Raw genomic sequence first — 24,729 nt, forward strand, 5'->3', positions numbered from 1 at the left:
GTGAGTGATCTTTAACACTGAGCACTTGAAAAAGAAAACCCTGAAGAAACCTAATTATTCGATGTCTGGACGACAAGGAAGAAGATAGAAATGGCATCAGATAATAAACAGTGTAAATGTTTGTTTATCAGAAAGGGGCTGGTGGTCGGGACAAGTAGGAGGATCGCTTGAGTCCAGGAGTGCATCTCTACAAAAAAGTTAAAGGATTTTTTAACATTGGCCAGGCGTGGTGGCACACATCTGTGATCCCAGCTACTTGGGAGGCTGAGGCAGGAGGATTGCTTGAAGCCCAGGAGGTTGAGGCTGCAGTGAGCTGTGATCGAGCCACTGCACTCCAGCCTGGGTGACACAGCAAAATCCAGTCTCAAAAAAAATAATAATAATATTTTACATAACCAACCACTTCTAAAGATTAAAAAAAAACCCCTATGATTAAAAACCTCAGGTCCCTCAGGCAATCATACCAGATATCGAAACAAAGCAATAACATAAGGACTGCAGTATTTATTTTATTTTTATATTATTTATTTATTCTTTGTTAGTTTTTGGAGTGTGGGTTTTGTTTTGTTTTTTGAATTTTTTATTTTGTTCTACTCGGTTTTATTCTTATTGCTCAGGCTTGAGTGCACTGGCCTCTTCTCAGCTCAACCTCCGCCTCTTGGGTTCGGGTAATGATGGTTCCACGTCAGCGGCCCTCCGCCTCTTGGGTTTGCGTGACGGTTCCACGTCACCGACCCTCCGCCTCTTGGGTTCGGGTGATGATGGTTCCACGTCAGCGGCCCTCCGCCTCTTGGGTTTGCGTGACGGTTCCACATCACCGACCCTCCGCCTCTTGGGTTCGGGTGATGATGGTTCCACGTCAGCGGCCCTCCGCCTCTTGGGTTTGCGTGACGGTTCCACGTCACCGACCCTCCGCCTCTTGGGTTCGGGAGGTGGTTCCATCTCAGCCGCCCTCTGCCTCTTGGGTTTGCGTGGTTTTTCTGCCTCAGCCTCCTGAGTAGCTAAGGGAGGTGTCTTGAGATTATCATCGGCTGAGGGTGGAAGCGGCCCCCGCAGACGCTCGGCAGGTGTCTTGATATTATCATCTGCTGAGGGTGGAGCTGAGGGTGGAAGGGGAGTGAGCTGACGCTCAGAAGGTGTCTTGAGATTATCATCCGCTGAGGGTGGAAGCGGCCCCCGCAGACGCTCGGCAGGTGTCTTGATATTATCATCTGCTGAGGGTGGAGCTGAGGGTGGAAGGGGAGTGAGCTGACGCTCGGAAGGTGTCTTGAGATTATCATCCGCTGAGGGTGGAAGCGGCCCCCGCAGACGCTCGGCAGGTGTCTTGATATTATCATCTGCTGAGGGTGGAGCTGAGGGTGGAAGGGGAGTGAGCTGACGCTCGGAAGGTGTCTTGAGATTATCATCCGCTGAGGGTGGAAGCGGCCCCCGCAGACGCTCCCCGCAGACGCTCGGCAGGTGTCTTGATATTATCATCTGCTGAGGGTGGAGCTGAGGGTGGAAGGGGAGTGAGCTGACGCTCGGAAGGTGTCTTGAGATTATCATCCGCTGAGGGTGGAAGCGGCCCCCGCAGACGCTCGGCAGGTGTCTTGATATTATCATCTGCTGAGGGTGGAGCTGAGGGTGGAAGGGGAGTGAGCTGACGCTCGGAAGGTGTCTTGAGATTATCATCCGCTGAGGGTGGAAGCGGCCCCCGCAGACGCTCGGCAGGTGTCTTGATATTATCATCTGCTGAGGGTGGAGCTGAGGGTGGAAGGGGAGTGAGCTGACGCTCGGAAGGTGTCTTGAGATTATCATCCGCTGAGGGTGGAAGCGGCCCCCGCAGACGCTCGGCAGGTGTCTTGATATTATCATCTGCTGAGGGTGGAGCTGAGGGTGGAAGGGGAGTGAGCTGACGCTCGGAAGGTGTCTTGAGATTATCATCGGCTGATGGTGGAAGCGGAATCCGCAGACGCTCAGCAGGTATCTTGATATTATCATCTGCTGAGAGTGGAGCTGAGGGTGGAAGGGGAGTGAGCTGACGCTCGGAAGGTGTCTTGAGATTATCATCCGCTGAGGGTGGAAGGCAGGTGTCTTGATATTATCATCTGCTGAGGGTGGAGCTGAGGGTGGAAGGGGAGTGAGCTGACGCTCGGAAGGTGTCTTGAGATTATCATCCGCTGAGGGTGGAAGCGGCCCCCGCAGACGCTCGGCAGGTGTCTTGATATTATCATCTGCTGAGGGTGGAGCTGAGGGTGGAAGGGGAGTGAGCTGACGCTCGGAAGGTGTCTTGAGATTATCATCCGCTGAGGGTGGAAGGGGATGGAGCAGACACTCGGCACGTGTCTTGAGATTATCATCCGCTGAGGGTGGAGCTGAGGGTGGAGCTGAGGGTGGAAGGGGAGTGAGCAGACACTCGGGAGGTGTCTTGAGATTATCATCCGCTGAGGGTGGAAGGGGAGTGAGCAGACACTCGGGAGGTGTCTTGAGATTATCATCCGCTGAGGGTGGAAGGGGAGTGAGCAGACACTCAGGAGGTGTCTTGAGATTATCATCCGCTGAGGGTGGAAGGGGAGTGAGCACACACTCGGGAGGTGTCTTGAGATTATCATCCGCTGAGGGTGGAAGGGGAGTGAGCACACACTCGGGAGGTGTCTTGAGGCTCAGGGAGTTATCAGTTATAGAATGTTGTTGAGTTGGAGGAGGTGGCTGGTGGCCCATCCTGTTTTTTAAAGTTTCAGCTGTGAGGTAGGGCCAGTAGGGCAATCCTGAAGAATGACGATGCTCCGCTGCCGCCATTCTGACCTGTAGGGCCAAAGGAGGGAATGTTTTCACACATATTCATTTGATGGACAAAATTACCGCCACCAACACAGTCTGCACCTTCTGTTGCTGGTGATAGATTTTTGCACCTTTCCATCCTCCAGGTTTCAAAATAGCAGTATCAGTGTCATAATATCACCCTTCCACTGAGTACTGCCGACAGCTGGAGGGTAAAGGAAAGTCATTGGGACACACTGTTGTCTCCACATGCCACTGTGTCTGTCTGCAAATGTAGGCAGGCTGGGGTCCTGCCCCAGGGAAGACAGAGTCATAACAGAGTAATAAAGAAGCATGTTTGAGACACAGGAGTGTCTATGTCTATCCTCATTCCTCCCTCACAGCCATCACCAGAGCATGTTTCTTGCACCAGGTCAACAGACAGTAAGAGACAGTAAGAGAGGCATGAAAAGCCCACTGTCCACACATGTTGCAGCTTCTTTTTGGAGAATGTTTTCCAGGCCTTTTATGTTCTGTCTCTGACTCTCAGAACTCTGCAAGGTCAGTGTGACCACCCTGCTCCAAATCTAAGAAAACAGAGGTTTCCAGAGGAAGGAGAAATTGTGCCCAGGGTCACACAGCTTGCAAGAGGCAGAGTGGAAGTTGATTCCAGCTCTGCCTGCAGGACCCTCTCATTTCCCCTCTGTTTCCCTTCTTGACAAAGGATCTTCTTCACTCTGGAGGTGCCACCCATGAGAACAAAGAGCTCTGGAGAGATGTGGATTCCTGAAGAGCTGCAGGGGAACTGGGAGAGGGTTTTCTGACAGAACAATCTCACCTCAAGAAGTCACTTAGGCATGGCTGTAATATTTCTTTTCACTCCCAGGTAATACCAAATTGTAAGTGCACTAGGACATAAAGAATACTTTTGTCCATGGAAAAATGAGGTGGGAATTCTAAACAAAGCAAGTTTTAAAACTGTGTTTCACTTCAAGTGTACAAGTCCCATCACGTGTAATCATAGGACTCGGCAGCTTTTGAAGGTACAGAGGCCACACAAGAACCAGCTTAGCTGAGCATCATTTAAGGCCTTCATTTGGAATTGTCCCTGTGGGTAATAAGTTACATTCACTCTTCACTAGTTTACAGTCAGGGCCCATCTGCTATTACAAATACGGAACCTCTGACACTTAGAATATTAGATCAGGGGCCCCACTGGGTGGGGATGAAGGTGTTTTTGCACAACACGGTTACCAACAGGGATGGGACTGTGATGCTTGTAGGCAGCCTTTCTCTCTGCCATCTCCCTCTGCAGGGCTTGAGCACAGAGCTGTAGGGAGAAAAATGTATCCATGTCCTGACCTGGCAGACTATGTCCAAAAGCAAGGAAAACAAGCAAACTTACCCAGTTGCAAAGAGCCTTTCTTGCAGAAGGGGGGATCTGAAAAAGCCAACACATGAGAAATTGAATGTTGAGAGAGTCTAAGGGCCGTGGCATCATCTGCATCAGCACTGAACTATCCTGCAACTGCAGGGAGGAAGCTCCTTACTTTGCATTTGTGGTAGTCCTCTGCCCGCCGCCGCAACTCTTGCGCACGTTGAAACATTTTCCTATGGATTACAATCACTTTCATCAGATAAAGCACCACTTTCAGGATGATTTTAAATAATCTGCCATGTTTCTGTTATCCTCACAACTGTACCCTTACACAATCTATCTCTACCTAGAAAACGTATTTCAGATGGCTATAAGAGTACAGTCTGAGCCGGTCACGGTGGCTGACGCCTGTAATCCCAGCACTCTGGGAGGGCGGGGCAGATGGATCACGAGGTCAGGAGATTGAGACCATTGTGGCTAATATGGTGAAACCCCTTCTCTACTAAAAATACAAAAAATTAGCCAGGCGTGGTGGCAGGCACCTGTAATCCCAGCTACTCGGGAGGCTGAGGCAGGGGAATCACTTGAACCTGGGAGGCGGAGGTTGCAGTGAGCCAAGATCACGTCATTGCACTCCAGCCTGGGTGACACAGCGAGACTCCATCTCAGAAAAACAAAAACAAAAAAACTGTACAGTCTGATCCAAACTGTTGCTGTATTGATTCCTCCTCTTGCTTACTGCCTGCTGACTTCTGAGATGATAGTTTCCTTCCCCATTCTCAGTACATCCCTAATTCATCCTTCATTGAGCATCTTTTATCATAAAGCTGTATTCTCTTTGTATTAATATCCTTACCGTGTTTCACAGGGCAGAAACAGCTGGGCTTATAAACAGGCATAGTCCTTTTGAAGGATGTGGTTGATCCTACAACAACACACTTTCCTAAGGATGACAACAACTCACCCCACCCCTAGAATGGCTGGTATGAACCGAGTTTCCACACAGTCTAGCTGGCAATGGGGTCAGGAGACGTTTTGCTACTTCACATCTTTTGGTCACTGGTAAATATTAAGGTACTTTGTTTTCTGTTTTGTGAACTCTCTCTCGCTCTCTCTCACGATATGTCTTCTGACCGTTTGTTTCTATTTCTGCATTTACTGGGTCTAAATACTGTACAAAGGTTAAAAACAACACTCCAATGGGCGTTTCCCAGGAGGGTGGGGTTCAGTTTCTGAACTCACTTGTAGGTGTGTATTTCTTTCATATCCAATTTCCCATTTTCCTCTGCCTCTGATACCTGCCTCTCCTTTTCTGCATGCTCACATTCTTTCACGCTTAGTTTCCTCAGATTAGAAGGGAGAGAAATGCACACACATGATCCACCAGCCCGTGTGGGATTCCCTCTGCCCTTCTGGCATCTGAAGGCTGTGATTCAAAGATCCCCCCTGCAACCTTCCCACAAATGAACCAACTGATTCTCACAACCGAAGGGAGAATTGACACCTCCCATTGAGGGACAAAAAAAAGTCACACTCTGGCCTGCTGGCAAGTCACCTGTCATTTCCAGCTCATCTTCATAGTTCCATAGTTAGTCCTATTCTTTAGTAAATATAAAGACTATTAAAAGCTTCTATGAGGTGCACTATGTGTGTCTCTGGGGTCAGTCTTGTGCTTGACACAGCGAAAGCTCATTTTAGTTCAGTGTGAAAAACCAGACCTCACCAATTCATCACAACTAACTCCATCGGAAGCAGAGGATTGCTCCTCATCTGACTCCTCCTGTGTGAGACCTGATTCTCAGTCAGAGGCTGATGCCGGAACTGAGACCATCAGCCATAGAGAGATCCTTCCAGAATAACCCCGCAGTTCACTACTGCACTTTGCCATGATTCAGGACTGGAACTCTTGTCATCGACTTTAAAGATCCTGGTTGAGAGAAAAGGCAATCTGAATGCTGGGCGCATCTATTGAATTAGAAATGATCGGAATGGCTCCTAAGTCAGGGTGTTATGTCCTGAAAATAGGTGACAACGGCAAACCATCCACCCTGGTGTTGACTGACTTTAACAAGGTTCAGTTCACAGAGATTGAGGGCAGAAAAAGGAAACGGCCTAAAAAGGGTAAGTTTGCTGTGTTGCCCTCACTCCACTTGATTCATGGTCCTGATCCTAAGGATCTCACCTGATACTTGGTTTTATAGGAAGGATGTGTAAAATTCCCAGAACGCTAGGAAACAGGGGCGAAAACACTTCAAAGAGAAAGTTAATGAACTTGTTTCTGACCACAAGGCATCCTTCAGCACATGCTGTCTGGAGTGGCCTCAAACAAGGAGTGTGTGGTGTGGTGCTGAGAATGCAATGGGAGCAGGGTCCTGTCCCCACGCTAAAGAAGCTCACAGCTTAATGCAAATGAGAAGCCAGTGAGGACATCACTACTCCTGCTGTGCACTTGGGAACTAGAAACACAAAACCTGACTCTGGAGGGAAGCTAAGGAAGCATTCTACTCTTGAGTTGACATAAGTGCATCTGAAGCTTCTGATCTCCGATGAGAACAATGGGGGACACCAAACAGAATATAAAACCCATGATTGAATACATCAAATTGCTAACATGGCAGTAAACAGACATGAGGTGAAGATGGAGAAGAAGGAAACCCAGGACGAAAGTCAGCCTCGCATTTGGAACCCATTTCCCTGAGTTTCATTGCTGAATTCCAGAAGGAACTACTGAGATGCAAAGAAGCACAGCAGCTTTTGCACACATGCGTGGGATTAGATGGAAAACAAGTGGATTGAGGGTCTGCCAATGAAAGCGACCCGTACTGAAGTCCACTGGCTCTGGTTGAGACCCAGAAGAGTCATGCATCAGAATAAAGGTGGACAGGAAATACCCTGGCCTTTGTAGGGACTGAGCCTGCACCGACGACTTCAATTGCAGCCTGTATGGAGGACCCCTGACCATCCCCCAGAAGTAGACTCCCATCTCTTCTGCAGCAAGATAACATGCTACTAGGCCTCAATTCATTGCTAAACATTTTTTAACAAGTATCTCACATTTAACAAAAAAAGATCAGTCATATGGCAGCAAAATACAATGTCATATGACCAAAACATGAAAGACTGTGAAAATGAATCTGGAGGTGACCCAAGCATTGAATTCAACAATCCAGGCTGGGTGCGGTGGCTCACACTGGGAGGCTGAGGTAGGCAGATCACCTGAGGTCAGGAGTTCAAGACTAGCCTGGCCAACATGGTGAACCCGTCTCTACTAAAAATACAAAAATTGGGCCGGGCACGGTGGCTCACGCCTGTAATCCCAGCACATTGGGAGGCCGAGGTGTGCGGATCATGTCAGGAGTTCTAGACCAGCTTGGCCAATATGGTGAAACCCCGCCTCTACTAAAAATACAAAAATTATCCGGGCATGGTGGCATATGCCTGTAGTCCCAGCTACTCAAGAGGCTGAGGGATAAGAATCGCTTGAACCTGGGAGGTGGAGGTTGCAGTGAGCCAAGATCATGCCACTGCACTCTAGCCTGGGTGACAGAGTGAGACTCTGTCTCAAAAAAAAAAAAAAAAAAAAAAATTGGTCAAATGTGGTGGCACACACCTGTAATCCAAGCTACTCGGGAAGCTGAGGCAGAATTGCTTCAAACTGGGAGGCAGAGGTTGCAGTGAGCCAAGATTGCACCATAGCACTCCAGCCTGGGCGACAGAGCGAGACTCTATCTCAAAATTAAAAAAAAAAAAAAAAAAAAAAAAGGCTGGCTGTGGTGGCTCACGCCTCTAATACCAGCACTTTGGGAGGCTGAGGCAGGTGGATTACCTGAGGTCAGAAGTTCGAGACCAGCCTGGACAACATGGTGAAACCCCATCTCTAGTAAAAATACAAAAATTAGCTGGGCGTGGTGGTGGGCACCTGTAATCCCAGCTACTTGGGAGGCTGACGCAGGAGAATTGCTTGAACCCAAAAGGCAGTGAGCTGAGATTGTGCCATTGCACTACAGCCTGGGCAACAACAGCAAAGCTCCATCTCAGGAAAAAAAAAAAAAAAAAAAAGAGAAAGGAAAACCAATGCCAGTACTAGCAACTCCTCTTCCTCCGAAAAAATGAAAACAAGAATGTAGGAAGGGAAAGGAATTATACAGCTTAAACTAATGAAGCAGAAAGGACAAACTCAATTTTGAACCCACTGAATTTGCCACAAATATTGTAGAAAATATTCTCAAGGACTTTACAGTTGTCTACTTTGATTGGCACATGGTTCATACAACAGTATTTGTGTCAAGGCACATCTTACTGTTTTCTGGCGGTCTTCCTCTTTCCATTGATTTTGTCATGATGGTTGATTTTCGTTGTCACCTTCCTCTTACGGATTTTAGCTCTAACTTTTGTTTCCACATGTCTCCGTAGAGTAATGACGTCTTTCAGGCCAATTTTATTTCCTCGAAAGGAAGAAACTCTTTTCTTTGTGTGCATACAAATGGACCTCAGCCCTTGGTGAGAGTGAGGAGAGGAGAAGGTGAGAAACCTGAGGGCAAGAAGCTGTTCTTTCCCTTTCCAGGGCAAACTCATTTCCACACTATGCGGATTCCAACAGAGCCATACCTTCCTGTCTACGGCGGTTGGACCTCCAGGCTCTCTGCTGTACATCCGTGGATCCATCATGTCCATTTCGAGACCAGAAGATAGTCTTCAGGAGAGACACCTAGGAAATAATAATATAAGAATGACGGCTGGGCACGGTGGCTCATGCGTATAATCCCAGTACTTCGGGAGGCCGAGGCAGGTGGATCACGGGGTCAGGAGTTCAAGACCAGCCTGGCCAAGATGGTGAAACCCCGTCTCTACTAAAAATACAAAAATTAGCCGGGCATGGCAGCGGGCGCCTGTAATCCAAGCTACTCGGGAGGCTGAGGCAGAGAACCGTTTGAAGCTGGGAGGCGGAGGTTGCACTGAGCCGAGATCACACCACTGCACTCCAGCCTGAGCGACAGAATGAGACTCTGTCACATACACACACACACACACAAGAATGACATGAGGCTGGCACGGTGGCTCACTCCTGTAATCCCAGCACTTTGGGAGGCCGAGGCAGGCGGATCACCTGAGGTCGGGAGTTTGAGACCAGCCTCACCAACATGGAGAAACGCTGTCTCTGCTAAAAATACAAAATTAGCCAGGCATGGTGGTGCATGCCTGTAATCCCAGCTAGTCGGGAGGCTGAGGCAGGAGAATCACTTGAACCCAGCAGGAAAAGCTTGTGGTGAGCTGAGATTGTGCCATTGCACTCCAACCTGGGCAACAAAATTGAAACTCTTGTCTCAAAAAAAAAAAAAAAAAAAAAGGCCAGATGCGGTAGCTCACGCCTGTAATCCCAGCACTTTGGGAGGCCGAGGCGGGTGAATCACAAGGTCAAGAGATGGAGACCATCCTGGGCAACATGGTGAAACCCCGTCTCTACTAAAAATACAAAAATTAGCTGAGCATGGTGATGCACGCCTGTAGTCCCAGCTACTCGGGAGGCTGAGGCAGGAGAACTGCTTGAACCCAGGAGGCAGAGGTTGCAGTGAGCCAAGATCCCACCACTGCACTCCAGCCTGGTGACAGAGTGAGACTCCGTCTCAAAAAAAAAAAAAAAAAAAATGACATGAATATACTTCACACAACTGAACTGTACACTTCAACACGGTTAGATGGTAATTATCATCTTATAAGTATTTTACCACAGGTTAACATGTTTCACAACTTGAAAAGGAAGTAATTACCTTCAGCTCTCTGAGTTCTAGAATTTGTAACATTTCATCCCCTGCTCCTTCCTGATCTGCACTGGAGCATCTTCCTTCTGTCCCTGCTCTACTCAGAGTTCACTTTCCCTTCCCTCACATCAGCTTCATTGAGGCTGGTTTGAACTTAACGCAAAACATTCTCACTAATGACTGAATTCCCACCAAGATTTCCATATTATCACAGTATGCTTTTAATCTTCTAAGATATTAAATATTTCTTCTCATCATAGCTAAAATGCAATGCAAATCCCATCTCAGATGTGGGTCAGATACCTATGAATCTCCTGAGGTGGTCATTGAAATGACTTTTTCTTGAGACAGAGTGTCACTCTCAACCATGCTGAAGTGCAGTGGCGCTACCTTGGCTCACGGCAACCTCCACCTCCCAGATTCAAGCGATTCTTGTGCCTCAGCCTCCCAAGTAGCTGGGATTACAGGTGCCTGCTACCATGCCTGGCTAATTTTTGTCTTTTTAGTAGAGATGGGGTTTCACCATGTTGGCCCATCTGGTCTTGAACTCCTGACCTCAAATGATCCATCTGCTTCAGCCTCCCAAAGTGCTGGGATTACAGGCATGAGCCACCACACCTGGCCTGAAATAATATCTTTCAAATTCTTTGTAGAATTTGTTTTTTCCTGATTTCTGCACATAGGATAAAAAAAAAATCATGTACTAGGATTTCGAGAGAAGCAATGGGTAATCTAAAAAGATGAAAAGAGCAACCACGTCAATCCCACAGCTACTGCTAGATTTCATAGGAAAGGTAGCTGGCCCAGTTTGGAGCTAGGGGAAATGTCAAACACATGAAGAAATGAGAAGCCAAGAAATGCCATCACGCATGAATGCTTCATGGCACCCATGATGTCCCTGCTTAGGAGGTAATGGTATAGATGACTAGATGACAAGGACAAAGATGAGAGGTGCGAAGTTGTCCAAGTCCAACAGCTCAACTGAACTTTCCTAAGTGGAATTGTTAAAAAGTGGTAAATTTAAAAACTTCCCCTGGCTCACGTGGTGGCTCACGCTTGTAATCCCAGCACTTTGGGAGGCTGAGGCGGGTGGATCATTTGAGGTCGGGTTTTGAGACTAGCCTGGCCAACATGGTAAAACCCCGACTCTACTAAAAATACAAAAATTAGCTGGGCATGGTGGTGGGCACCTGTAATCCCAGCTACTTGAGAGGCTGAGGCAGGGGAATCACTTGAAGCCAGGAGGTGGAGGTTGCAGTGAGCCGAGGTCACACCATTATACTCCAGCCTGGGCAACAGAAGGAGACTCGTCTTCGGGGTGAGAAAAGAAAAAAAAAAAAGAAAAAAGCTTCCTCCAATTTATACCGAAAATTCTCTGTTCAGGACTAAGTGGCATAGAGAATGTTAAATGTGCCTAGATATCTTCATAACTCATATATTTTCTGTTTTCTACATATCTTGAAAGGCAGTGCCAAATGACGTGTAATTATCTAGGTGGTAAAACTGAAACATACTTCCTCTTCCCTTGAATATAAAAAAGCATTGTGGTATTAGTACTTTTATCTTGGATCATTGTTCAGAAGGAGGTTCAGCCCCCAGACAACCACATTTTTACTGTCATGAATGGCAAGACAAAATGTAGAGCTCAACTTACCCAAAGGAAAAAAGGCTCAAAAGACAAATTATGGCACAACTTAGCAGCCAAATTCTTACCAAGTACAGACTTTTGACATACTGATCTCTCTCCAGTTCCAAGTCGGAACATGCACTTTGAATGATGTCATTCAAAATTACCCTGCCCAGACACACTTTTCATTGATTCTCTTGGAGGGCAGTTCTAAGAGTCTCTGGGGCTTTCTCTGCATCATGAGACGCAGTGCAGTTCTGCCCTTCACCTTCCGGCAGTTTGTCACCTCGTCCCTATGACCTCACAGGAACTTTGTCTCAGGCCAATTGTTTGTTCCTTGGCCTCTTTCATTTCCCCTAAAAATCATTTGCTGCCCCTCTAAATGGCCTACATCTCCATCTATCTCCCTCTCCCCTCAGAAGAGGGTGCTCTTTAAGCATCAGCCATCCGGCCCTTCTAGCAGTCTCATTTTTCAGCTGGTTCCCATGTTTATGCCTGTTCTATGTTTTTCTTTTCCTGTTAAGCTGTCTGTTGTCAGCTCATTTCTGCAGTGAATCTTCAGAGAAGAGATTGGAAGCTTTCCTTCCACCCATACGATAGAACTACAAAGCAGAAGAGTTTAGAAAGAATTTCCTATTTAAGTGACGAAACCTCATACTCCATTTGTGATAAATAGCACAAAGGTTAAAAAAACTTATTTTTGACCAAAAGCTCTGTTGACATTCTATTAAACAAACACCGACCTATTTAATTTTCATAATGCAAATGGCAGATGTTTTCATAATTCTTATACTAATAAATCATTTCCCTGATTTTTTGGGTAAAACCACATATTCATAATGAAGTCCAGAAATGTGAATTGTTTTATATAATTTATTCTTATTTGTGATTACAAGTATACCTCTACAGAAAGTTAGTATACTCACCCAAAGGTAAACTATCCAGAGGGTAATGACAACTTTATAACTTGTCGGAAACGCAATAATGACATGTAACCAAGGACTTCCACCAAAGTCAGTCCCACGATGATGATGGTCAGCCAGAGTATTGATAACCTGGAATAATAATAGTTGAAATAATGAAAAGGTCAATGACACTGACAATATTTCACTCAGAAAGAATCATCCTTAGAAACCGTCAACCTCCTCCAAAAGGTAACCACATCCCTCAGATATCACCGTGGGATTCCACTGCTACAAAAAAGAACAGAAGTTAGAAGTCACATGTTTTTCAGATGGCTGGTAGTGTTTTCAGGCATTGCAAATGTGGGGTGTTGTCTTTCTTGGTATAAAGCAGGGATATCCAATCTTTTGACTTCCCTGCCTATATTAAAAGAAGCAAAGTTGTCTTGAGCCACACATAACATACACTAACACTAACAATAGCTGATGATCTAAAAAAAACCTCTTTTTTTTTTTTGAGACAGAGTTCCGCTCCACTCAGTCGCCCAGGCTGGAGTGCAGTGGTGCAATCTCGGCTCACTGCAACCTCCAGCTCCTGGGCTCAAGCCATTCTCCTGCCTCAGCCTCCCGAGTAGCTGAGATTACAGGTCTCTGCCACCATGCCCGACTCATTTTTGTATTTTTAGTAGAGATGAGGTTTCACCATGTTGGCCAGTCTGGCCTTGAACTCCTGACAGGCGATCTGCCTGCCTCGGCCTCCCAAAGTGCTGGGATTACAGGTGTGAGCCACCGTGCCCAGCCATTTTTTTGTTTTTGTTTTTGTTTGTTATTTTTGAGATGGGGTCTCACTCTGTCACCCAGGCTGGAGTGCAGTGGTGTGCTCCCGGCTCACTGCAACCTCTGCCTCTCAGGTTCAAGTGATTCTCCTGCCTCAGCCTCCTGAGTAGCTGGGAGTACAGGTGCCTGACAGTGCACTCAGCAAATTTTTGTAGTTTTTGTGGAGATGGGGTTTTGCCATGTTGGTCAGGGTGGTCTCGAACTCCTGACCTCAGGTAATCTGCCCGCCTCAGCCTCCCAAAGTGCTGGGATTACACGCATGAGCCACTGTACCTGGCCAAAATCTCCTAATGTTTTAAGAAAGTTTACAAATTTGTGTTGAACTGCATTCAAAACTGTCCTGGGCCACATGCAGCCCGTCACTCATGGGTAAGACAAGCTAAGTATAAAGTAATTATCTTATCTTTTCTTTTCTTTTTGTTTTGAGACAAAGTTTTGCTCTGTCACCCAGGCTAGATTGCAGTGGCATGATCTCAACTCACTGCAACCTCCGCCTCCCGGGTTCAAGCGATTCTCCTGCCTCAGCTACTGAGTAACTGGGATTACAGGCGCCTGCCACCACGCTCGGCTAATTTTTGTATTTTTAGTAGAAACAGGGTTTCACCATCTTGGCCAGGCTGGTCTCCAACTCCTGACCTCATGATCCACCTGCCTTGGCCTCCCAAAGTGCTGGGAATACAGGTGTGAGCCACTGCACCTGGCCAGTAGTTATCTTTTCTTTAAAGTTATTTACTTGTTTTTTAAATTGATGTATAACATTGGATGCATTTATTATATATCACATGGTAAAAGAATCCCTCTAAATAATACTTCTCTCTTGGATTATATGAATCTTTGTCATTTAAATCTCAGCATAAGTAAAAAAAAAAAAAAAATACAATGAAGAGATTACTTCATTCACAAATAAGTATCAAATTTTAGTGCTTAAAAATTAACAAGGTGGGCTGGGCGTGGTGGCTCACGCCTGCAATCCCAGCACTTTGGGAAGCCGAGGTGGGTGGACCACGAGATCAGGAGATTGAGACCATCCTAGCTAACACGGTGAAACCCGTCTCTACTAAAAATACAAAAAATTAGCAGGGCATGGTGGCACGTGCCTATAGTTCCAGCTACTTGGGAGGCTGAGGCAGAAGAATCACTTGAACCCGGGAGGCAGAGGTTGCAGTGAGCCGAGATCGCACCACTGCACTTCAGCCTGGGTGACAGAGCGAGACTCTGTCTCAAAAAAAAAAAAAAAAAAATTACCAAGGTGGAGATCATGAAAATGGCATGAATAGTGTGGGATTTCTCTAAGATTGTTGATATTAATTCCATTAGACTCTTATGTGAGTGAAGACGAAGACTTCCCCTGAGTAAGTTCAGACAGCTTCTGATAACATTTCTACGTCGATTCCTCAGGATTTAACTATATATTCTTGAAAACATCTCAATTTTAAATGTTTCTTTCAAGATGGTGAATTAAACAGAGATAGCCCTTCAACAGGTTGAACTCAGCATATGCTGAGTCTGAAATGGAAATGATGAAGTTAGAGAACCATACAACAATGGTAATGATTTCAGAAACATGGTGTTGAGCAGAACAAAGCAGACACAAAAGAGTACCTATGGCATGGCATGCATCTGTATACGCGAAATTCCAGAATAAGCAAGCTAACCTATGATAAGAAAGAGACTGGCTGGGAAGACTGAGAGTTCACTTTCTGGGGTGACATAATAGTGTAGATCTTGGCTGGGCACGGTGGTTCACGCCTGTAATCCCAACGCTTTGGGAGGCCGAGGCGGGCGGATCACCTGAGGTCGGGAGTTCAAAACCAGCCTGACCAACATGGAGAAACCCTATCTCTACTAAAAATACAAAATTAGCTGGGAGTGGTGCCACATGTCTGTAATCCCAGCCACTCGGGAGGCTGAGGCAGGAGAATCGCTCGAACCTGGGAAGCAGAGGTTGCGGTGAGCTGATATTGCCCCATTGCACTCCAGCCTGGGCAACAAGGGAGAAACTGTCTCAAAATAAATAAATAAATAAATAAATAAATAAATAAATAAAATAATGTAGATCTTGAAAGGGGGTTGGTTTATGCTGGTGTATGTACTTTCCAAAGTTAGTAAACTTACACTTAAGGTTATATATTTTGGCCAGGCGCGGTGGCTCACGCCTGTAATCCCAGCACTGGGAGGCTGAGGCAGGCAGATCACGAGGTCAAGAGATGGAGACTATCCTGGCGAACATGGTGAAACCCCGTCTCTACTAAAAATACAAAAAATTAGCCGGGCGTAGTGGCGGGCGCCTGTAGTCCCAGCTACTTGGGAGGCTGAGGCAGGAGAATGGCGTGAACCCGGGAGGCGGAGCTTGCAGTGAGCCGAGGTCCCGCCACTGCACTCCAGCCTGGGCGACAGAGCGAGACTCCGTCTCAAAAAAAAAAAAAAAAAAAAAAAAAAAAAAAAAAAAAAATTAGCCAGGCGTGGTGGTCTACTAAAAATACAAAAATTAGCCAGGCGTTGTAATCTGAGCTACTCAGGAGGCTGAGGCAGGACAATTGCTTGAACCCCAGAAGCGGAGGTTGCAGTGAGCCGAGATCTTGCCACTGCACTCCAGCCTGGGCGACAGAGTGAGACTCTGTCTAAAAAAAAAAAAAAAAAAAAAAAAAGTCATCAAACCAGATGACACAAATCAAATGACATTTCACTTTGTTTTGGTCCATTTTCTTTGTTAAAAACAAGAGTGCAGCGGGGCCATCTCGGCTCACTGCAACGTCCAGCTCCTGGGCCCAAGCGATCCTCCCACCTCAGCCTCTCCAGTAACTGGGATAACAGGTACGCACCACCAGGCCCGACTAATCTTTATTGGAATTTTTTGTAGAGATGGGGTTTCGCTATGATGCCCTGGCTAGTCTTCAACTCCTGGACTCAAGTGATCTGCCCACCTCGGCCCTCTAAAGTGCTGGGATTACAGGCCTGAGCTGTGTAATTTCATGCCACGTGATACAGCCCAGTAAAAAGGAAGAAACCCCACGGGTCCAGCGTCTACTCACAGAGATGCACTGATGGCTGATAAATTCCAGTAGGAGCCCAAAGAGGAGCCAAAAGAGCATCCACCGCACCCGCATGTCCTGGTCCTTTCAGGGCGCCCTGAGGCGGCCAGGACAGAGGTGGAGGTGGCTTAGGGCAGGGGGGAGGGAAGGGGACGGGACCGGGGCCGGATCTGAGTTGGGGAGGGGGAGGGGAGGGGGAGGGGAAGGGGAGGGGAAGGGGGGAAGTAAGGGAAGGGAAAGGAGGAGAAGGGGGCTGTTGGGCACCTGGAGGAGGTGGAGGAGGAGGAGGAGAAGAAGAAAGGGGTCTGGGAAAGGATCCGGTTCAAATTAAGTTCTCAAGCGCTGGTGGAAGGTTTAGCTACAGGTCACGGAGAAGATCAGGGAAGCAACAGGACACGCGGGGCAAGGGAGCGTGAGGCTTAGGAGCAATCAGAGGGAGACAAAAAGGTTCTGCTATCCACCAAACCTTCTTCGGTCTGGGCCCTCCCTTACCAACCCTGGGGCTTTATACTCCCTCTCCACCAATCCCTGATGACCCCGGTGGTGCCTCACAATGGACAGTGCCTCACAATGGACAATGCCAAGTAGCGCCCGCATCATTCCAATGACCCCTCCCCCATCTCAGTCTCCCACACTCCTCCCAAAGACAGGTCCTCTCTGGAACCTTCACAAACCTGATTTCTGGTCCTCCCCAACCAGCTCCCTGTCCCTGCTTCTGGGCGCTCCTTCCTTCCTGAGCTCCCAGGGTTCCTCAAGGTCACTTATGGCGACAAAACATAAAAAACAAATGATGGCAGGATGGCAGGAAGAACCTCATACCCAAGCAGAGTGCCAGGTTTTACAGCCTCCGCTCAGCCATTCATATCCTAAGCAACAAAACATCAGCAGGGTGCGGAAGGTCCCGATAGTAAACCATCTCCATCACATCCATGTAGCCATCCGTCCATCAACCTGTATCTCAGGAACAAATGTAGATACATTCATTTTAAGCATGCCTGGTACATTTACAAAAATTAACCTGACTTATTTTGTTCCAGCAAATCTCAATATATTTGAGAGCAATCAAATCACACAGCATGTTTCTGATCATATAACTGTGCTAGAAGTCAATGATTAAAAGCTAATTCAAAATTATTATTTGCTTGGAAATTCAAAGTGCCCTTATAAGACATAAACATAAGAAAGAATCCAAAATGAAACAAGATTGCCTTTCAACTCAATGATGAGATCATAACATGGCAATAAAATGTCTCCCTCTGGCCTGGGAATTCCTCTTTGTGGCACAAGGTTGTGTGATCTCAAATCACCGCTAACCCACCTAGACATTTTAACATCCGAAACCGAGTGATGACGTCCTTATCTATATCATCTTACTGCCTGTGTGTGTGGACTTTAAATTCTGAACCCAAATGAGGGGGAGAAAACCAAGTTGACTTTCATGACTGAGCTCTCAGGGACGTCCAAGGAATCTGTGCATTTCAAGAAACAAAGTTCATCAGCTTCTCTCCTAAGGTATTTGCCCACAATACCCAGAGGGCTTGGCAGCATCATGTGTGATGGGTGGGGAGCTCCAAGCAGGTGGGCAGGACCCAGGGGCCTGGTGACCAGGACAGACCCCCACTGTCCATCAACTTTCCTGGCCCTGTCCTCTGCTAAACTTCCCACAGGCCTTCTGCCCGATCACACAGAGTATGCCCAAACTCTCTCAGGCCTCTGGCAGCTGAAAACCACTGCTTTAAATCCCTTTACCATTTACTATGACATAAGGTTATTGTAAACAGGAAATATTCTATTGATGCTACAAATGGAAAGCCAATGCCTTTACCATAAATAGAAAAACAACCCTAAGAAGCAAGCAAAACAAAAACAAAACGGGCTGGGTGTGGTGGCTCACGCCTGTAATCCCAGCACTTTGGGAGGCCGAGGTGGGCGGATCACAAGGTCAGGAGTTCCAGACCAGCCTGGCCAATATGGTGAAACCCTGTCTCTAATAAAATACAAAAATTAGCCGGGTGTGGTGGTGGGCGCCTGTAGTCCCACCTACTTGGGAGGCTGAGGCAGGAGAATAGTTTGAACCCGGGAGGCAGAGTCTGCAGTGAGCCGAGATTGCACCACTGCACTCCAGCCTAGGCGACAGAGCGAGACTCTGTCTCAAAAACAGCAACAACTACAAACAAACAAAAAACAGGGTTAACAAAAGTATGGAATTCAATTCTTTTTATATGCTGCAGCCATGTTCCTGCCCTAGATTTGGCTGGGCATGGTGGCTCACGCCTGTAATCCCAGCACTTTGGGAGGCTGAGGCAGGCGGATCACGAGGTTAGGAGTTGGAGACCAGCCTGACCAACATGGTGAAACCCCATCTCTACTAAAAATACAAAAATTAGCCAGGCATGGTGGCACACGCCTGTAATCCCAGCTACTCAGGAGGCTGAGGCAGGACAATCCCTTGGACCCGGGAGGCGGAGGTTGCAGTGAGCCGAGATTGTACCATTGCACTCCAGCCTGGGTGACAGAATGGAATGAGACTCTGTCTCAAAAAAAAAAAAAAAAAAAAAGCAGCCCTAGATTTCGGTTGTGGTGGTTGTAAAAGGAGAGACCAAGTAAGTGGGGGTTGAAGTCAGATTAGAGCAAAAGTGAATGGCAGAGAGTACTATAATGTCCATGAAGGGCTGCTAGAGTCACCGTGATCATAGCCCAAGCAGAGATAGGGAAAGGAAGATGTGAGCAGAGTTTGGGGTCTCGAACAATGGAGGTTATTCGTGCAGCCCAGGAAAGGCTCCCCAAAGCCAGGATCAACCTCCCTTGGAGGCGGTCCCTCATGGAGGCATGGTCAGGCACCTTAGATTTGAGAACAGCTATGTTGCTGCTGACCAGCTGTGTGACCCTGGGCTGGTTTCCTTCCACACAATGGGAGTGCCAATGGCTGCATGCATGCAAAGACCGTCTGAGGATAGGAGGAAGCAATCTGTTGAGCACCCGTGTACCTGAGTGTCATCACCTCCCAAGGGCATCCTTCGTTCCAGAGCTGGCGCCTTGGAAGGCCCTTGGTCACTGAAGGCAGTGATGATGGTAACAGCAGTAAATCATCATTTACGGCTGATGAGGGAAGGCCAGGGGTAGGGCTCCTAGGTCCTGGATAAGAATGAGGGTCTGGGCACTCCTGGGGACAGCTGAGTGGTAGGACTCCTGGGTCCCCAGGGGGAAGGTCCATCTTCAGTGGCATTGGGCCTAGGCTGGGATGCTGAGTTATCCACTGGAGCATCAGCAGTACAGGCAGGCACAGAGGCAGTGGATCCATCGGAGGTGGCAGGTGTAGGATCGTCTGGTGAGCAAGTAGAGTCACCAAATCTGGCTGACCACTACCCCCACTACCCCCACTATCCCCACAGACGATGCCCTGTCCCTTGCCTCATGCTCCGGCAGGGTACAGGCTCGCACCTGGGGCCTCAAGGAGCATCTCTCTAAGACCTCTGTGTCCTGGTCATTGAATGGGCACTTGAGTCACCCAGGGCCATTGGAACAAAGAGGAAGAATCAGGCCCCACGATGTTTTGGGAGAGTGTTTAGCACAGGAAAATGCGCAGAATACATGCACGACACGGGGGCACTGTCAGTGTGGGAGCAATGGTTTACAACCTCCAGCCCTAATCTGAGCACTCTCACCTGTGCAATCTGAAAGGAACAGGAGACTTGCAGGAAAGACAGTGCCTGGATTTAACTTAAAGGAACTAAAAATGTTGGAATTTTTACTCTTGATATCCTTCCAAATCAACTCTCTCAATGTTCCCATCCTCAAAACTATCATATGGGGTAACTGAGGCAGTCAGAGATTTACTGACTCAATGTCACTCAATTGATTCTGAGTTCACTGCTGATTACATCCGACCAAACTGCTTTTTCTGAAGTCTACTCCGTTTAATCATGCTGGTGATGATTTTGTGCGGCTCTGGGACAAACTCCACCTGGCTGAAGATAAAGCAAATCTGCGGTGACTTAGTCCTCCTGTCATTTCCCATCAGTTCCCCACTCTCCTCCTCTGCCCCTCCACAGTCTCCCATGCAGGCTGACACCATATGACGGCCTTAATGGAGTCCACCGAGTATTTCAGGTTCTCTCCTGGGCCACTTGAAAGTGGATGTACCCATGGGATTTGCTTTGACCCAGGAGATGTGAGTGGAAGTGAAGCGTGTCACCTCGAGGCAAAAGAGTTGGGAGCCATTGAGACGGGCCACTCTCTCCTTCATCTCTTAGAGCAGCTGACAGCTCCCATATGGAGGCTGCTCCTTTATTCTCGTGGCAGGATGAGGGCATGTGGGGCACAGGGCACAGGAGAGCCATGGAGGATGTGCAGCATGGGCAGGAAAAGAGCCTTCAGTGGTGTACATTTCCATAGTTTGGGGCTGTTTCTTACCTACAGTGATACCTAGCCCATCCTAGCAGGCATGCACCATCTACTCCACACTCTGTGATGCAGACTAGCCTGCCGTCAGAACACGAACTGGTGGTCAGACACAGGTAGGTTTCAGTTCCAGCTCTGCCTCTTATTGACTGCAACCTCAGGCTTAACTTTCAGTCTCTGAGCCTCAGTTTCAACTCTGTAAAATGAGGTGGCTATACCATCTCAGGTTGCAGAGAGAATTAAATGAAATATAAGTGCATGTAGAGCATTGAACCCAGGGCCTGGCACACACAGTGAGTACACAATGTTAGCCAGGTAGCTTCATAATGCATACTGATTGTTAATATTCAGACAATGCAGTAAAGTGTTACCAAAAATAAAAGTAAACTTATTTGCATATGTATTCTTTCAATCTTTATTTTTAAACAGGGTAAAACTATGCATATTCTTTCATAGCCAGTGTTTTTCTCTTCATAGTATATTGTTAAAATAATTTTACTTGGACCGGGTGCAGCGGCTCACACCTAAAGTCCCAGCACTTTGGGAGGCCGCGGTGGGCAGATCACGAGGTCAGGAGTTGACACGAGCCTGGCCAATATGGTGAAACCCCATCTCTACTAAGAATACAAAAATTAGCTGGGCATGGTGGCACACACCTGTAGTCCCAGCTACTCAGAGGCTGAGGCAGAGGAATTGCTTGAACCCGGGAGACGGAGGTTGCAGTGAGCCAAGATTGTGCCATTGCACTCCAGCCTGGGGGACAGAGTGAAACTCTGTCTCAAAAAATATATGTGTGTGTGTGTGTGTGTGTGTGTGTGTGTGTGTGTGTGTGTATCTATATAAATCTCAAAAATAAAAGATCATTTTTGAGATTATCATTTTAAAAGACAAGATAATGTTCAACTTAATGACTAATTTAATTATTACTATTGGACTTTTTGTAGACTAAACAGAGCATTCAAAACAAATGAAGGAGAATAAAAAATATGTATTACATGTTGTAAAATAAATGTGATGTGGTTAACTCTTTTATTCAAAGTTATAGAACATATATATGTACTATAGAATGTATTTCTTATTATGAGTCATGTTAAAAAGTAGTTTAGAAGCTGTTGATTTGAATTTCCTTTTCAAATTTTGCAGGATAATTTTTTTTTTTTTTTGACAGAGTCTCGCTCTGTCGCACAGTCTGGAGTGCAATGGCGTGATCTCGGCCCACTAAAACCCCCACCTCCTGAATCTAAGCAATTCTCCTGTCTCAGCCTCCTGAGTAGCTGGGACTACAGGCTCACACCACCATGCCCGGCTAATTTTTGTATTTTTAGTAGGGACGAGGTTTTGCCATATTGGTCAGGCTGGTCTCGAAGTCCTGGCCTCAGGTGATCCACCAGCCTCAGCCTCCCAAAATGCTGGGATTACAGGCATGAGTCACCATGCCCAGCCTAAACTTGGCAAGATAATAAATAACCTTTTTAAGTGTCGTTGGGCACTTGTCTGGTTGTTTTTCTTTAGGTTACCATGCCAGCAATGATTCCTTTTGAGTTTCTGACAGAAGATAGTGGTTTTCATCCAAATAAGTCAACTACTCTACCCCATCCCTAAGCCACTTGTATGGAAAGAAAAAGAGGAAGAAGCCAGTACTGTGACTGCGTAAGCTTCCCCCAGCATCACCCGCTATGAGATGTGTGGCAGCTGAGACCCGGGAACTGCTCAAGGGCACCAGGCCCCATCTGTCTGCACTCACTCACCTTCCTCAGGTACTCGCATGGGCATGTCACTGACTTTACATGCTGCTGCAGCTCCTTGGTGAGCTGGCCCTGGTCATGGGACAGGAACTGTGGGGTCAGGACAATAGAGAGCTTCACCATTTGCAGAATGAGAACAGGGGCTCATGATGAGTGCCAACCTATTAGATAATTTTAAAAAAAAAGTGTTGAATGAGTGGAAAAACAAGGTGATGTTTGAGTCTATAGTGGTCAAGGGCTTCAGAAAAGGACAGAACCAAGTTCAAATTCCTGTACTTTGAATTTCTACTTCATGCCATGCAAAATTACTTTACCCCTTTTAACCTCAGTTTTCTTCTGTGTGAAACAGGAACAATAGTTTCATTCGTCATTCAGTTTCTCTCAAGGTTTCACGAGATCATACCTATAAAACATCCAAGTCATTTAAATGTATCATCATTTCTGTCATAATTAGTGGGATCCATTTCACTATTATTGGATATACAGTTCTGTGCCTGAAACCTACAAAAAAAGAAAATGTTAAGTCTAAAAAGCATTAGTGATTTCTCATTTTTATATTACTAATTATAACCCTATTTAATCACACAAGGCCTTGTCCGTGGCAGGTGCTCAATAAACACTTGTCGAATCAATGCATGTGGGCTCCGGAGCCACACTGTTTAGATTCTATTCTGCCTCCACCACTTATCAGCTGTGTGATCTGGGTAAGATAATTCACCTCTTTATGTCTGCACTTCCCTCTCCATAAACTATATATAATGAGAATCCTTAGCTCATTCGGTTGTGGTGAGGGGTGAATGATTTGGCACACAGGAGGGGCTTGTTAACATTAGCTGTGATGATCTCCTTCCAAATCTTCATTTTCAGAGCCACAGATGAGGCCACAGTGCAACCAGGTGACCTTAGAGTGTAAGTACACGATCGCCAGCTATGCTCTATCTCCACCATAGGTCCAAGACTGGGTAGTTCTGGCCTGGAGGTTTCTGCTACATCTGCCTTCTCAGTGTTCACCTAAGGACTTTTGTATTTTCCTCCTCGCATCCCCACAGATGGGGTTCAGGCTGCCGGACACAGCTGGGTGATGCCAGGGCAGTGGTCACCTGTGCCAGCCCCGTGAGGTAGCTGGAGGATCATTGTTCCTTCCTTCTCGGGCTCTGGGCAGATGCCAGGGCTGGGGTGACCCATGCCCTCAAGTTTCTTGCTTTGGTGGGCCACATTTTCCCTTGGCAAAGAGGGTAAAGGTCACAGGATGCCAGAGAGCTGTGACTTCTCTGTGCCCTGGGCCCAAACTATGAAGACCTGACACACTATGCTAAAAGTCCAAGGCTGGGTGCTCCCCAGAGCTTCTTGCCTCACCGCTTCTGCTGAGGGAGGAATGAATACTATGTCCTCCCAGAGCTTTGGGAGCTTGTAGCAAGCAGCCTCCCCAGCGCAAAATCTCTTGGAAACCTCTAACTGTGTCTGAAACATTAGTGCAAATGTTGCATCCTATTTCCCATATGTCCGCATGTTTTAGAAAAAAATCCTCAATTTCCTAAATATGCAAGAAAAATCGGTATTGTAGGACAATGTGACTTTTTAAAAAATGTTATTTAAAAATCTTCCCCACCTCCTTTTCTGCCCTCCAAGACTGCCAAATACTTGTTGAACATATATTATTAAATGCCTACTACATGCCAGCCATGATTCATGGTCTTGGGGACACAGCAGAGAACGAACTGACAGGATTCCTCTCTTATGTAACTCACATTCTTATATGATAATGATAAGGGTTAACATTAATTAAGCTGTCACTGCATGTTAGTCACGGTGCAGTCATTCCCACACATTATTACACTTAAACCTGCCAGCAAGCTTGCAAGGTAGTTGTTTTTCCTTTAAAAACTGAGTCTCGGAATGATGAAGCACTCTGTCCAATGTCACACAGCTAGTAAGTGTGGAGACCTTGCATCCAATCAATGCCCGTCTCATTCTAAAGGCCATGTTATGTGTTCTCCAGCCCATGGAGAATAATTTTAACACAGTCAATGAAATTTCTACACAACAATGTTCTTGTCTCAAGTCCAAGAATGCCTCCTACACCTCCTATAATACTGGCTTTCTGGTGAGTAAAGATGCCATTCTCATGTGTAATCAGGTGGCAAATGGAGATATGACCAAAGTAACCATCTGCCTACACTCATAACCCTGTACACACTCTTCCTGTGTCGATTCAATTCAAGTACCCCTTTTGATCACTTAGCAAATCTGACCTTTAAAAGGGTTAGGGTTTTTATATCCATGTAAGTTTCTGTATTGCTTTGGAAGTC

General features: G+C 46.7%; 1 protein-coding gene across 3 annotated transcripts; it reads right to left on the reverse strand.

The window, feature by feature from the left end:
• Nucleotides 1-484: 484 nt before the first annotated feature.
• NPIPB12 (nuclear pore complex interacting protein family member B12) lies at nucleotides 485-23,359 on the reverse strand. Of its 3 annotated transcripts, NM_001395932.1 has the most exons (9): nucleotides 22,735-23,359; nucleotides 22,424-22,581; nucleotides 17,094-17,225; nucleotides 12,430-12,558; nucleotides 8,726-8,825; nucleotides 8,418-8,613; nucleotides 4,290-4,350; nucleotides 4,145-4,180; nucleotides 485-2,784 (listed from the first exon to the last, which is right to left on the reverse strand). In NM_001395932.1, the coding sequence occupies exons 3-9, from the start codon at nucleotides 17,154-17,156 to the stop codon at nucleotides 640-642; spliced, it is 2,730 nt and encodes a 909-aa protein (NP_001382861.1). In that variant the 5' UTR covers nucleotides 17,157-17,225; nucleotides 22,424-22,581; nucleotides 22,735-23,359; the 3' UTR covers nucleotides 485-639. The 3 variants fall into 3 exon arrangements, with proteins under 3 accessions (NP_001382861.1, NP_001342330.1, NP_001382860.1); NM_001355401.2 differs by lacking the exon at nucleotides 17,094-17,225 and having other exon boundaries at nucleotides 22,745-23,359; NM_001395931.1 differs by lacking the exon at nucleotides 17,094-17,225.
• Between the last annotated feature and the right edge of the window lie 1,370 nt (nucleotides 23,360-24,729).

The sequence above is a fragment of the Homo sapiens genome, chromosome 16, assembly GCF_000001405.40.
Source record: "Homo sapiens chromosome 16, GRCh38.p14 Primary Assembly".
In the NCBI taxonomy this organism is placed as follows: Eukaryota; Metazoa; Chordata; class Mammalia; order Primates; family Hominidae; genus Homo; species Homo sapiens.